The 15,377-nt window shown below is 49.1% G+C and overlaps 1 annotated feature.

Moving 5' to 3' along the window:
• Positions 2,689–2,883: a silencer, noted in NCBI's record as "fragment chr1:37713576-37713770 (GRCh37/hg19 assembly coordinates)". NCBI's record gives its function as "represses an EF-1alpha promoter that drives an FKBP-Casp9 reporter gene in an ReSE screen in phorbol 12-myristate 13-acetate-treated (for megakaryocytic differentiation) K562 erythroleukemia cells {active_cell/tissue: K562(+PMA)}" and the evidence as "EXISTENCE:reporter gene assay evidence [ECO:0000049][PMID:32094911]".

Raw genomic sequence — 15,377 nt, 5'->3', positions numbered from 1 at the left:
TGCCCTCACGATCTAATCACCTCCCAAAGGATCCACCTGCAAGTACTGTCACATTGGGGGTTAGGTTTTAACATGAAAATTTGGGTGGACATACACATTCAGGCCATAGCAATCAGTTAGTGTTAGTTTTGCAGTGTAACAAACCATCCTGGCTCTTAGGGGCAGCTGAGCGAATCTGTGGCCTGGGCTCAGCATGGCTGATCTCAGCTGAGTCACTTGTGTGCTGGCTGGTCTGGATGGACTCCAGTGGCCTCACACACGGGTCTGGTGGCTGATGAGCTGTTGGCCAGGGTGATGAGGGCGATTGACCCATGTGTCCCACATCCTCCAATAGGCCAGCCTGAGCTTACTCACATGGTAGTTGAAGGAATGAATCCAAGAACAGCATGAGGCATGCACTTTGCAAGTGTCTGTTTGTGACGTGTTTCCTATGCTGTCCCACTGGTGAAAGCAAGTCACATGGCCAATCCTAGAGTCAGTGTGCAATGGGGAGTACCCAAGGGTGCAGATACAGGGAGACATGAACAAATTGGGCCATTATATTTCTGTTTCAGTATCTACATCTGTGGTAGACACTATACAGTTAAGACCAGGGGAGCTCTTAGGGAGACCATCCCTGAAGAGCTTTGGAGTCAGGGGATGTAGGGTGGAGTCCTGGCTTTATTCCTAAACGTCGTAAGAAAAGCAATCTCAGTTTCTCTGCCTGTATAGTGGGTGACAGGGTTATTGTAAAGATCAAATGAGATGCTTGAAGAAGTCCTTTGCAAGCTTTAAAACACTGTAAAAAATGCAATTTGCTGCTATTCTTCCCCCCAAGGAATGTAGGTGGGTCTTAATAATTTCTCAACTTGGAGTTGTCTACTTCGTGGCAAAATCTCAGCTTCCAGGATGACTTCCTGGACCACCTCTGGAGCAGCTTCGCTCAACACCAGTGTGCTTGGGGAATGCAAAATCACTTTAATATTGGTTGGAGACAAACGTAATTAGGAAGGTAAATCTGCTGAAAAAATAATCATATTATGCAAATGTGATTAGCAATGACTTTTGGGTTCTTTGTTATTTGAGAGTTTCTGTTCCTTGGCATGCATGTGGAGAGGTGGCTGCTGTGTGCGTGGGGTGTCTATTAGTAGGTGCTCAGGAAATGGGAGCTTGTGAACACAAAAGTGGGGAGAGGAGCATTGGGAAGGGACTTCTCCATCAGTTCCCAAGGAGAATCTGTTGGTCTCTCAAGGTTCTGAGCTGATTCCTGTCAAGGAGGTCCAGTGAGCAGACCCCAATTGATGACAAGGGTCCCTAAGAGGGGAAGGGGCTTTCTTCTTCCAGGCCGGGGCTGGACTTAAAGAAAAATGAGCTGGAGCTGTGGTCCAGGGGACAGCTGACTCTGGCAATGGGGCTACCCTTATTGAGGGGCTGGTGGGTTTGGGGGTGGGACTTGGCTCTGCCTTTATGGGCTACCAGGAGGTGGTCAGAACCTGGAGCAATTTCATGCCTGGTTGGGGTCTGGTGTATTAATTTATAGCAGGAATGTTCCTTCCCAGTGTTGGAACCAACAATGTTCTCTGACAGAATCAAGAGTTTTCCTCTGGTCATGGCTGGAAGGTCACACATTCTGGCTTTTGTAGCCCCTTTGATAATGGTGATGATGGTAAAAAAATAATAAATAAGAGCCACCCACTTAGTGAGTGATTATTAAGTTCTAGATGCTGTGCTAAGTGCTTCACATAATTACCTCATTTAATTTTCATAACAATTTTATGAGGTAGGTACTATTATTCTCATTTCTATTTTACAGAGTAAGAAACTGAGGCAGAGTGGTTAAATGATTTTCTCAAGATCACCTATAACAGTAGCAATTTTCTCAAGGTCACCTGTGTCAGTGGCAGAGTCAGGATTTGGACACAGACCTAGCCTGATTCTGAAGTCTATGCTGCCGCTCAGCAGGCCATGAAAACCCCAACCTTCCCTGCAGGGCACAGCACGAATGACTCTGTTGTCATTGTCTTTGCTGCGTGCACTTTGCAGTCTTGCCTGTGCACACCCCTGGCCATGCTCAGGTCACCCCAAGGAGACCCCAATGTGCCTAGGCTTCTTCACAAATTTCTGGAAGCTGGCACACTCCTGCTCCACCCTTGGTGAGTGACCTGGTCTCTACTCCTGGGGTTTCTATGCACTGACCACAGCCAACCAGTCTGGGCAATTGGGACATCTGGGTCTGGAGTGGGTGAGCCTCCTGGGAAAACTGAGATGGCTTTGGGGGCCCCTGAGCATAGGGGATGCTCATGAATCCCCCTTCTTTATGGCTTCTCTCTAGATTTCTAAGAGCCCAAGATCTCTTCCTGTGCCCTTATTTCTCTCTTGACCCTTTGGAGGCCTGGGGACCCTCTCTGTGACTCCCTCTCCAACTTCTGAAAGGAATGCAAAGCCTCAGGGAAGTTCTCAGAAGAATCCCTCCTGCCCCAGGGCCATGTCGATATTGACCACAGCAAGTAAAGGGTTGGTGGTAGTGGTGGTGGGGAGGATTTGATGAAGTCAGCACCACCTCTTAGGGCCAGGCCAAAAGTTCTGGGATGGGGAAAACCCCACCGTCCCAGCCCAGCCCAGCCCAGCGCACATTTCCCACCGAGGCACAGACAGGTTCTTCCCAGACCTTCATTCCCAACAACCACTTGGCCATCCTCTTCCCTTGGGCATCTCCATGTCTGATAGACCTGACATGTACACAGCTGGCTACTGCTTTGCCCACAAACCTGGTCTTTGTCAGTGTTTCCTACTCAGGGATGGCATCTGTGACCCGCTCCTTGGCCTTCACCCTTACATCTAATCAACAGCCATGGTCCCACATGGAAACGCTGCCAAATCTCTCCTATGCTTGCTGCTCCCTCACCCCGACTCCATCCACATTACCTCCAATTAGCTCATCATCTTGCTCCTGTATTTACTGCAGAGCCCTACACTGGCTCAGCACACCCAGCTCCAGTCTAATCCTGGTTCATGATCACACTGCTACCATAATCATCGAACGCACACTATCGATTGGCTCTCCATTGCCTATGAGTGACATCAAAGCCCTTGGGCAGCATCCAAGGCTTGCCAGGATCGGCCTCACTCTCCAGGCCTTCTCCCCTCGTGTCCCTCATAGCATGCTAGGTACCAATCTGCCTTCCCTTATAATGGGCTCCCTATGTCTTCAATGCCCCCCCACCCCTTCCTCCTGGGATAATATGAGGCTGCATCTCATGGTGTCTCTGCCATCTCTGCTGGCTCCTGGGGCAGTGTGCCACCTCCTCCCGCCATCCCCCAGCACTCTGTCTGCTTCCTCATTACGGCCCAGATTGCATTGCCGTTATTGGTTTACATTCCCGTCTCCCAATTGGCCGTCAGTTCCTGGAGGGCCAAAACGCTGGCTCATTTATTGCTGAATCCTCATCCCAGCAGAGGGCCTGGCACATAGTAGGCACTCAATTAGTGTTGGTTGAATTGAATTCCCTCACAACTCACAGAATTGATTCGATTTGGAAATGACATTGTATCCAGAGGATTGACTTTTGTCTCTCTCAAGGGCTTGTGATGATACAATTCACCTCCTCATTGGCTGCTCTTTTTGAAGAAAACAAAACTCCGATTTCTGGATGGAATTGAGCTTGTGGTCCACATGGGAGGGGCGAGAGGCCTTACGGTGGAGCGGACTTTGCTTTTCTCAGTGGCAGGTGAGGCACGTTGTCGTGCTGTGGAGATGAAAGGGTGGGGGCCACTGTATTATTTTCTGCATTTGAGCCAGAGGCTAAACGTAGCCTTCCTTCCTCCTGGCTGATAAATAGGAAAATAAATTACCAGGGCACTAAAAGTTGCATTAGGCAAATAAACATTTTGGCAAGAATTATATGTGACATTCAAGAGAAAGCAAATAAACCCTAAGTTATGGGGACCTGTCAAAGCTCTAGGAGAATTAAGTAACTAAAAATCATTAGTAGCGTCTTTGACAGCTCTTAAACCTTCCCTGGCTCCCGCCCCTGCTCCGGGAGGTCTGAGTGTTCCCTGTCATGTGTCTTCAGAGAAATCCTCAGTTCCCTGGGGCCTCAGATCTAGAGGAACCTCAGAAACCTTCCAGGCCAGTGCTTTCAAACACTCTTCTGTGGAACCCTGGGGTGTGTTGGGGCACCGCAGAGGCAGCACAGCATACGTGGGGAAGGGGCAGTTCCGAGGGCTTGGGGCCCATCCTGCCCAAACAGAGAAGCTCCTCTTTGATCTGTATGGCATTAATAGGGGATTAATTAGAGTAGAGTGAGAAATTCTCTTCTGGGAGAAGAATTCTGCTAAGTGATTTGAAAACCATTGTCCTGGAGCAAACACACACCTGATAAAGAAATATCCTCTAGAACATCATGGTAAATAATCGTCCAACCTCTTCTTGAACACCTCCAGTGACAGGGAACTCATTCCAGGATTTCCACTCAGCCCCAGTGTTCTGCATGACATCCCCATCCCAGGACTCTGCTGCCAGAAGGCTTGAGCTCTAGTCCAGGCTCTGCCATTTACTCATCGGTGAATGCTGGGCAGTAACTGAAGCCCTCTGAGTCTCAGGTTTCCTATCTGTATAAAGGAGATGATATGGGGCCCGGCACTGTGGCTCATGCCTGTAATCCCAGCACATTGGGAGGCTGAGGTGGAAAGATCTCTTGAGCCCAGGAGTTCAAGACCAGCTTGGGTCTTGAACTTGTCTCTACCAAAAAAAAAAAAAAAAATTAGCCTGGCGTGGTGATGCACGCCTGTGGTCCCAGCTACTAGGGAAGCTGAGGTGGGAGAATTGCTTGAGCCTGGGAGGCAGAAGTTGCAGTGAGCTGTGATCGTGCCACTGCACTCCAGCCTGGGCAACAGAAAGCAGAGAGCCTGTCTCAAAAAAAAAAAAAAAAAAAAAAAAGGAGATGATATATATTTTTCCTGCTGCTGTAACAAATTACAACTAACTTAGTGCCTTAAAATGACACAAATGCATTATCTTCCAGGTGTCAGAAGTCTGAAATGAGTCTTAAGGGGCTAAAATAAAGGTGGCACCAGGCATCAAGGTTATGTTCCTTCTGGAGGCTCTAGGGGAGAACACTTGGTTTTCTAAAAGCCACCTGCATTTTTTGTCTCATGGCCCCTTCTCCCATCTTCAAGGCACATTTCTCTAGTCTCTCCTGTCATCGCATCTCCTCTGACTTGGGCCCTCCTGTCTCCCTCTTACAAGAATCCTTGTGATGACTTTGGGCCCACCCAGACCATCAGAGCCTCTTTCCATCTCAGGATCCTTGGCTTCATCACACCTGCAGTCTCTTTTGCCATGTTAGGGAACATATCCCAGGTTTGGGGGTTGGGATGTGGCCATCTTCAGGGGTCATTCTTCTGCCTCCCACATAATGACAGTGCCTACCTGAGGGGACTTTTGTGAAGGTGAACTGCAAAACCATAGTATTCACAGGACAGAAGAGTATTCCATGATGGAAGAGCTGCAGGTGGGGCTGGGAGAAGGCTGAGAATGTAGCCCCCACATCTATTCCCAGAGGTACTTCATCCATAGCTGCACACCTGGGACCACACTCAGGAATAACGGAAGTAATCCATCCATTTGTGTGGCACTTTACAGCTTCATCAACAACATCACATTATTGTGTTTCATCTGCATAACCAGCTTGTTCTGGAGGAGTGTACTCTTTGGCTTTAAACATGAGGATGCTGAAGCTCACAGAAGCCCAGAGACCTGCTTGAGGCCCATAACAAGTGGGATCTGAGCAGAGATTTGAACCCCCATCTCCTGACTGCCAGGGATCGGGGGCTTTCCCACAGACCCCCATAGACTCAGAGATGACTGGTCTGCAGCAGGGAGGTGTTTTTCAACTAAGCGTTCGTGAGGCTGAGATTTAGCTTTGCTTTCAGGCCAGGGCACAGGGCTGGGTGCAGAGCCTTCCTTGGGAATCCAGGAAACAGATGGGAAGCACTATGGGGCCCAGGGTATCTTTGGAGGCTGGGTTGTACAGGGATGGGGATTCCAACTTTAGATCTAAGAACTTTTCCTTTTTCAGAGGAAAAGAAAGTCCCACATTTCTCACTTAGATGTCTCATCAAAGATACACCCACTGGGCCCTGACAGTGAGAACTGATTTAGAAACCTCAGATGGGATCTCAAGGCAGGGTCCTCAACAGGGCTGGCCTCCAGACTTTCAGAATCTCATAGCAACTAGCATGTAGGTGGCACCTACTATGTGCCAGGCTCTGTTCTCAGAAATTTACGAGGAACAGCTTGTTGAATCCTCACAGCAGCCTCGGGAGGAAGGCACCAACTTACAGATGCAGAAATTGAAGCCCCAATTCCAATCCCTGGAATTGGGATTCTAGCCTGGATGGAGTTCACGCTATTAACCACCATGATACTGCCTGTCTGTGACAAGACGGGAGGGTGGACCCTAGACCTGAGGTCTCAGGTTCACGAGTTGCTGGACCCCCTGCTTCCCTCCGAGGTGATGGGGCTGGAGAGGTAGGAGGCAGGACCACCCCAGCTCACACTTTCCTTGCCTTGGTTGGCCCCATCTTGCACTTTTGCTCCCACGAGGCAATGGGGGTCACAGGAGGCTGGGCCAGCATTGGGCTGAGCTGCTACTCCCTCTGGCATGCATGACAGTGGGGTGAAGCCAGGGAGGGTGGGGAGAACCACGCAGCCATTTTACTCAGACATGTCTGGGTACAAATCCCAGCTCTGTGAGACCACTTGGCATGCAGTATCTCATTCAACCTTCACAGCAGCCCTGCAAAGAAGATGTCATGATCCCCTCTATGGATGAAGACACTGAGGTCCAGACAGGCAGAGTAACTTTTCCTAAGGTCACTCAGCTTATATGCCGAAGAGTCAGGCCTGGACCCCAGGGTGTGTGACATGAAGCCAGAGCCGCTCCACGGCACTGGGCTCTTACCAGTGACCTGGGTGTCTTGCCGGGCACATGATGGCCACTCAGCCCTCGGGCCCTTCCCTTTCCTTTGGCTCAACCTTCCTTTGGGAGAGGATTTTGCCTCCTCGGAGTCTTTCCTACCAGGAGTCACAGGCCTTCTGTTCTAAGTTAAAGGAGGTCTGAAGATGGGATGAGAGGGAGAACGACCCCGTGACCTCCCCTCCACTGTCCTGCAGCCCAGCCCGGGGACCTCCCCAACCCCACCAGCATCTTTGCCAGCTTCCAATGAATTCAGAGCCCTCTGCAGCAGGGGATCTAAATTTAGACCCTGTGCTCTGTTAACTCGGTGAATAATGCTAATTAGCATAACAATTCTTCCTGCAATTAAGCTGGGGAGGGGGATGAGGTGGTGGTACTTGGTCCAAGACGAAATTACACTGGGAGGCTTCCTATTGCTGGTTTTCGGAGGCCTCACTTGAGGTGTCTACTTGGTTTAGCTCTCTTCTTGGATGGCTGGATCCAGAAAGTGCCTATTTGGGATGGAGGGAGGGAGTGCCTGTCTCTAACCTTATTGTGATATGTTATTGGTGCGTGTATTAAAGTGCAACTCCAAGCCCTGCATGGGAATAAATTAGGTTTTGTAAGCAAGCTGTCACCTGCTCTGAAAGGTGTGAAAAAATTATGAACTGCATTGTCCTGGAAACCATAAAATAGCACTTCCTCCCTGAAGTAAACACATAAGTTTGGGATATGAAGTTGAAATGAAGTTATATTCGGAATTTAGATATATTTGTTTAGGGAGATTTGCCAATTCTATTGTTTGAACCGGCAATGTGAAGTTACCTCTCTGTGCCGTCTGGATAACCGTTCAAGCCAGAAGCCATCAGTTTGGGCCCTAAGAGGCCACCTGTGGCTTCTAGCCTTCCCTGCAGCAGATCAGGAAGTCTGACATCTCCACTGGGTGGGGTGTGATGGGGCGGCCATAATGCCGTGGGCTGGGGAAGGTGGAGGTGTGAAAGGGGCCTGGAGAAAGGCTGCCCTAGGCTCCCCTCCATTACCTCTGATGACCCTCAGGTCATTACAGACAGCTCCTGAGCTCTGAGGCTCCTCTCCCGGGTTTTCTTGAATACTTTCATGGCACACATCTTTCAGGCTCTACCTCCATTCAGGCCTCTCCTTTCGGGGCATTCTTTCTGAGTCGTACAGAACAGAGAGGGACTCTCTCCTCCATTTCTCTGGTCATAATACCTCTATTGATGCAGCCTAACTAGGTCACTTTTCTGTAAGTGGCCATATAACTTTGTTAGCTCATGTGGAGCTTCTGGGCAGCCAAAATGGTAATGAGTGATCGAGATCGTTTATTCATTTATTCCCTACCTGTGTTAGGCATTATGCTAGTCTCTGGGGATGTGTGTGAGAGATGAATCAAACATAGTCTCAGCCCCAGGGAAGGCACAGTCTACCTGGCGACAGAGAGAGAGAATGGGAATAGGATCCAGTATGAGAGGGACTAGGATGAAAGCATGTATAAAAGGGGAGTCTCGGAAAGGCTTCACCTAGGAGGGAAGAGATCATCTGGTCCTTGAAGGATGTATAGGAGTTTGTCAACTTGTGTTCACAAGAACTTCTGTCAGTTCAGGTCCCTTCATCTTTTGTGCTTGAGTCTCTGGCATTTGAAAGTAAGGGAAGGATGTTAGATTTATGTTAGATATAATCTCTAAACTTGGTGCTGGCCTGTCAGTGGTGAGCCTGAGATATGCCATTCAAATAAATGAGCTCCCTTTTCTTGTCTTAAGTCATTCACAGAATTGATCCAGGTGCTTTACTGTGTTCTCACTTGTGTCACTCAAGAACATGGTACAGAGGAGAGGGCCAAACTCTGAGACTCTGTAGCAAGTTCTTTCAGCAGCTCAATTGCACAGGCTGACTTCTATTCCCCACCCTGGTGCCCACATGACCTCCTACCTGTCCTCTCACCAGGGGTTACCAGAGCCCCCCTTTGCCTGCTGTCCTGACCCACTCTCCCCCAAGATGCATATTTATCTAGCTGGCCCCTGTGCTCAGGGACTCAACAATGCCATGTGTTACTCTGTCTAGGCCCTCCACCCAGTGCCTGGTCGACGCAAAGCCCCTGGAGGCAGGTATCGTTCTTTCCATTTTTCAGAAAAGGAAACAAACTGAAGTTCAACCATTAGCCCAGGGTTCCACAGTTGGGAAGTGGGAGAGCTGGGATTTGGTACCACAGAGCCCGAGGATGGAGATTTCACGTTACCTAATCAGTTCCATGGCTTTAATTGCTGGACATCAAGCGGGGACTTGTGTCCTGACAGGTGGTCTGAGCCATATCCTCATGTGTGGCCCGATGTGTGGTCTGACCTGTGTTCTGACCCACATGACCTGCCAAGAGGCCTGGTGCCTGGCCTACCATTAGGTTGACGCTCTGTCTGACCTGCTTGCCACATGGCCTAACATGTGGATAAGTGGACACAGTGGCTAAAGTTCTGCCCACCCCAGGAGCCATGAGCTGTCTGGTCATTTCTGCTCCCTGGAACTAAAGCCTAGGCTGAGGCAGGCAGGCTGAGAGGCAAAACCATGTCCCTCCTTGTGAGACGAGGCCCATCAAGGCCCACCAGGCATATGGGATGGTGCTATGGGCACACACACACACACCACACACACACACATGCACACACACACGGCAAGGGCTGGCATCCTCCACGAGCACACTCCTGGTCCCTCCATCGCTGTGTGGAGCAAGCTGCTGGCTCTCTGTGATGATGGATGTGCCTCCTTGTGTCGCCCAGCTCTGCCTCCCCCCACATTCTGCCCGCAGGACTTGCTGAGTAAACGACTCCGCCTGGCTGCCTGGCGAGAGTGGTTGACGGAGGGGTCGGGGGAGGGACGGAGGAGCAGAGCCGTTTGTCTGGAGCACCAGAAGGGGAGTTGGCCACTTACGGCTGTGATGGATGGCGATTCGGCTCTGCCATCTGTTGGAGCTGGCAGGCTGCTTAGCACAGCACTGCACACCTGGCTGGGGCATCCCTGTGGAGCGGGGCCCGCCCATGTGGGGGCCAAGGGACCCGTCTTCCAACACACTAGGGCAGGAGGCTGGCAGGGAGGTGAAGGAAAGATTGTACATATGCCCCAAAGAGAGTCTGGTGGGCCTCTCACCTGTTTTCCTTACTCATCAGCCCAGGACCTCTGTGAAGGGACGCTGGGACATGCCTGGGCATTGCTGGGCCAGGAAGAGCCCATTACAACTTAGCCACCCACCTTTTTTGGCAAAGAATATGTGCAAAGCCCTTGGCACAATATCTGGCACACTCATGCTCAATAAAAGCAAAGCAAGTTGGACCATACTTCTTTGTCATCCTGGCTGGCTCCTGGGGGCGTGGGGGCATGAAGATGTTTTCAAGGTCACCTGGCTGCTTGGGTGGGGGCTGGGAGGGAGTGACACTTTCTTAGGTGTTTTGGCCCTGCTAGCCACACCTTCTTCTGTGCTGTGCCCACCCTCCCTCTACGATCCCAGAATGTTAGCATTGCAAGGATCCCTGAGAGTCACCTACTCAGAATTGTCTAATTCACAGATGAACACTGAGGTCCAGAGAGGAGAGAGGCCAAGCTCAATGGCTTGCAGCACTCTGTCCTTCTTCCCAAACCCTCTCTCCCCTCCCCAGAGGGGTCTCTCTTGGGCTTGGGACTGCACCAGGCCCTGCCCTAGTACTTGGGCTTAAATGGATGCCCCCTCATCAGGGCTCTGCTGCTCCATCCCATAACTTCATCTCTTGGGCTTACCCAGTCCTCTTTTGCATGCTCTTCTGCATGGGTCCTAGTCTCTTTCTGGGAGCTTCCTCAGTGTCCAGGTCACAGAGCCCAAACCTCATGCTCTGGGGCCTCCTTCTCCAGGACAAATTTTCTCCAGGGAGGTACCTTGGGGCCTATGGCATCAGCTGCTCTCAACTGTTCCAAGATGAGCTGATTTCCACATCAGTCCTCTGCCTCAGCTTGCAGTCAATTTAGATTGGGCCAAAGAAAAACACAAAGAGGGGCATCTTCCACGCACCTGAATCTGCAGCTGTAAAGCCATAGCTGATCTGGGTAGGGGAGCTTATCCATTTTAAAGTGGAGTTGGGGGTGCCTCCGATGAGAAGAAACAGCATGAGTAAAGGCCTGGAGGAAAGTCAGCTAAAATCACAAATTCTGTTTGGCTGAAATAGAAATTGCAAAGAAGCATCATGATTTTTCCCTGCTGTCATGGTATTTTGTTATTTTGGAGAAGGAAAATGTGGGCATACGTTACTATAATAGGGAGTAAAGTTCCCATAATTCAGAGGGAATTAAGAAGAGGTGATGGTATAGCTGCAATCTGGCAGGGCTTCTTGGAGGAGGTGACATTTTAACTCCCAAATCTTGCTGGAACTCCTTTTTCCATCCTATGACTCCAAGGGAATGAGAAAAAGGGAGGAGAAGTGCCATCAGGGCTCTGGCAGGAAACAGATGGCCTTCCATGTTAGGATAATTGGAGAACGGCTTCGTAATGGGACCATTTATAAAGGTGTGGGCAGGGGGTGGGAACCACATAGCATGCAGCATCCTGGGGCTGGTGACAGCTGAGCTAAAGCTGGGCCTGACATCCCTAGGCCTAAAGGGATGAGGAAAGGGAGCAGTTGCCAGGTCTGGATGCGAGTCTAGGGTAGCCCACTGAAGGGGCTGAACTTCAGTGAAAGGACTCAGTCAGCACAAGGCCACCCCACAGGGAGGGGGTGATACACACATGACCTCACACTCCACCCTCCCACTGAGTTCATCCGGGGGCTCCATGTAGTCAAACTCAAGGGAACCAGAGGTCACAGGAATTCTCGGAGGTGCCTCATGGGAGTGACTCAGCCTCTCAGGGAAGAGGGCAGGGGAGGAGGAGTGGAGCTGGATCTGCAGGATAAAGCGAACAGTCCTAGCACCCCCTCCCCCAGAGGGCCCAGAAGATTTTTTGGGCCCCAGAGGGCGTGAACACAGGAAGGTAAACCCCACTGGCTGAGCCCACAGTGTGCTGAGCAGGTGGGGGTGTGTTCTAGACTGATCACATCCTCACATTCTCAGGACAACCTTGGGAGAGGTGCTATTGTTTCCACTTGGCAGCCGAAGAATTGAGGCTCAGAGTGGTGAAGTGATTTGGCCAAGGCCACACAGCAAGGAGACGGCAGAGTGGGGACTGCGTGGCTGGGGGTCTGTCTGACTCTAAAGACAGTGTGTATTTTTCTGGCACTATTAACACCCCATGGGGGACCCAGCTCCTAGCAGGTACGTGGAGCTGCCTGTGGAGAGGTTGGTGCAGCGGGTGGCATTGGCTGCGGGAGGTGAGTGTTGAAATGCCAAACCTACTTCTAGATGTGACAGCTGCTCTTTGTTTGCCAGGCAGCTGTGGGCTGTAGCTTTCTGTGAGCTGGGGAAGACTGGCTCCCCGAAAAAAACAGGAGCATAATTTGGCTTCTCTTAATTGATTTGCAAATGTACTGAAGAATTGTGGTAATTCCTTTAAATTTTATTCCCATTCAAATTTTGGAGGTAAACATAATGAGAAAGGAAAGTCAGCACCATGTAATGCAGCAAGAAAAAGGTCTAGCATTTTATTTTATTTTTACCCTGGGCATAAGGAAAGCAAACTCACTATGAATACCTCATTATTTGAATTTCAAATATTTCTCTCGAGTTGAACACAAAAGGAAACTTAAAAAAATATTAACACACACTCACACATACATACCCTGAACCATTTCTGCTTTTGAATATGTGACTCAGAATGTCCTAGTTTAGGTTGTAATAGCGCAATTGCAAGAATCAATCAGCCTTAGATAGATGTGTTTACTCAGAAGTGCTTAGAAAGGAGACCAGTCAAAAGAACATTAATATCTTAAAACATTGAAATTATCTTTACCAAAGAACATTAGCTATGAGCATTAATATTTGGGAATTCTTTTTTGCTTGCAAAGTGTCTACATTCAGCTGAGCCCTGAGGTCAGGTTGTGGAGGAAAGTGAGGAAGTAGTTACTCAGATAAAAGCAAAGCATGCTGGAAAGAGCTCAAGAACTGAAGTCCTTCATTTATTCACTCATTCACACAGCAGTTATTAAGCAATAGAGAGTATGGGCTTTGCAGTCAACAGACATAGTGAAAGTCTCTGCTCTATCATTTTATTAACTGTGCCACCTGAGCGAGTTATTTAACTGCTCAGAGCCTCTGCTTTTACATCTGTAAAATGGGATTGATTATAGTGTAGTACTATCAAGCATTGAGGCAAAGAATGACCTTTTAATGAACTCAGCCCAGTACTAGTACAAGGTAAAGTCCTCAACAAATGATAGTGATTTCATGACCTTTTCCATTGAGTGTTCCTATGTCCCAGACATTGCCAAGTATGGGGACAAAGAGGTAAACCAAATGGACATGCTACCTCTCTTCACTGAGCCTACAATCAAGGAGGGGGACTGGGGCAATTACAATGTCATGTTGCACCAAAGATGAGGTTTGGATGCTGGTTGAACTCACTTCTTGGCTGTGTGACCTGAACAAGTCACTTCACCACGCTCATTCTGATTCCTCATCTGGGAAATGGTGATGAAACTTTCTGCCTTTCAGGGAGGTTGTAAAAACCAAGGAGATAAAGCACAAGAAAAAGTTTTGGAAAGGCTGAAGAGTCTTGTTATCGCACCATGAGATAATTGCAAGGGAGGGTTTTGTTCGGGTGTGTTTAACCCTTCTAGGTTTAGAACCCTGGTAGAATCAGGAATGAACACTAAAAAGTTCTGCTACGGCTTGAATGTTTGTGCCCTCCAAAACTCATGTTGAAACAATCTCCAATGTGGCAGCATACAGAGGCGAAGGCTTTAAGAGGTGATTGGATCGTAAGGACTCTGCCCTCATGAGTGGATTAATCTATTTATGGATTCACTGGTTATCTTGGGTGTGGGACTGGTGGCTTTACAGGAAGAGGAAGAGAGACCAGCACTAGCACCCTCAGCCCCCTGTTTATGTGATGTCCTGTGCCACCTTAGGACTGCAGAGAGTTCCCACCAGCAGGAAAGTCCTCACCAGATGCAGTCCCTCGATCTTGGACTTCTCAGCCTCCATAACTGTAAGAAATAAATTCCTTTTCTTTATAAATTACTCAGTTTTGGGTTATAAGTAACAGAAAATGAACGAAGACAAGTTTTCCTCCTTCTGGATCAGGTTTTCTTGGGATTCTCTGGCTATGATTGAATGGCCTTTGTGGCCCATCCGCCTAGGAGTATGTACATTATCCTGAGGACAATGCGAGGGCCAGTGCAGGGTGTCAAGTGGGAAAGCAATAACATCAGTACTGAGTTTTGGGCAAATTCTGACTGTGTATGAGCCTGGACCAGAGGAGTGAGCCTGGAGGCAGAGGTCCCAGAGATGGCTGACAGGGACTCCCTCCTTGACCAAACTTTAGTCAGGCTCCTTTAAGCCTTCTTCTCAATTAGGTTTCATCCTTAGCCTGCAGAACCTAGTTTTAGCAAGAATCCCATCAAGGCATGTTAGCAAGAATCCCTCCCCGGTCCTTGCTCTGAACCAAGTTCCTCTTAGTAATTTCCTATTCATTCACTCCCTCACCCTCCCCTTTAGCTATAAATCCCCAGTTGCCCCTACTGTGTTGATGAGTTCAATCCTGCATGAAGTGTCTCTCCCCCAGTGCAGTAGCCCAAATAAAATCTGTCTTGCCATTAAAAAAAAAATGTGTCTGGTGCAATTTTACCTTGACATGGGGAAAATGCCAAGCATAAGCCAATAAGGACCAGAAGGATGGGAAGGAGAGGACATGCTTTGAAGGTAGAGTCAAATGGTTGATTCTGGGGTGCAGAGAGCAGGGAGTGGAGGAGCTGTCCCAGGCTTCCAGGTGGAGCAACAGAGATGTGGCATCCGGGAGAGACTGTGGCTTTTGAGAAGAGAACACCAAATTTGATTTGGGATTATTGGACTCAGCCCAGTTTGCCTTTGAAGCAATCCCTTTGGTGTTTTCCTTCCAAATGCCACCACTTTGGGCTTCCCCATCCCATTCCCAAGACAACCACTGAGTTCCATGTGGCCCTGCTGTCTCTTGGCAGTTCCCCTTCCCCTTATCAAAACTGATGTTACTCATTCCTTGAAGAATCTGCTTTCCCTGGTGTCAGGTGCTTCATTTAAACAGCAAATCTGGGCTAAGAGATGCCTTCGCTCCTCCACTCTGCAGATATATTTGCATTTTAATGAGGACATTTCAGAGGTAACCCTTTACCCCAAAGACAAGGAAATCAGGTTTCAGAGGCCACAGACTAATGGTGAAGGAGAGCTTTTGAGAGTGCAAAGAATATGGGCTCTGGAATCAGACAAAGTTGAGTTCAAATCCAGGCTCAGAGGAGTCTTTACTTGTAGCTTGGCTGCTTCTAAGAGGGAACTGTTGCCTCC

This window comes from Homo sapiens, chromosome 1 (assembly GCF_000001405.40).
Source record: "Homo sapiens chromosome 1, GRCh38.p14 Primary Assembly".
Classification (NCBI taxonomy): domain Eukaryota; kingdom Metazoa; phylum Chordata; class Mammalia; order Primates; family Hominidae; genus Homo; species Homo sapiens.
The sequence above is the reverse complement of the archived record's forward strand: the minus strand, read 5'-3'. Positions and strand labels throughout refer to the sequence as shown.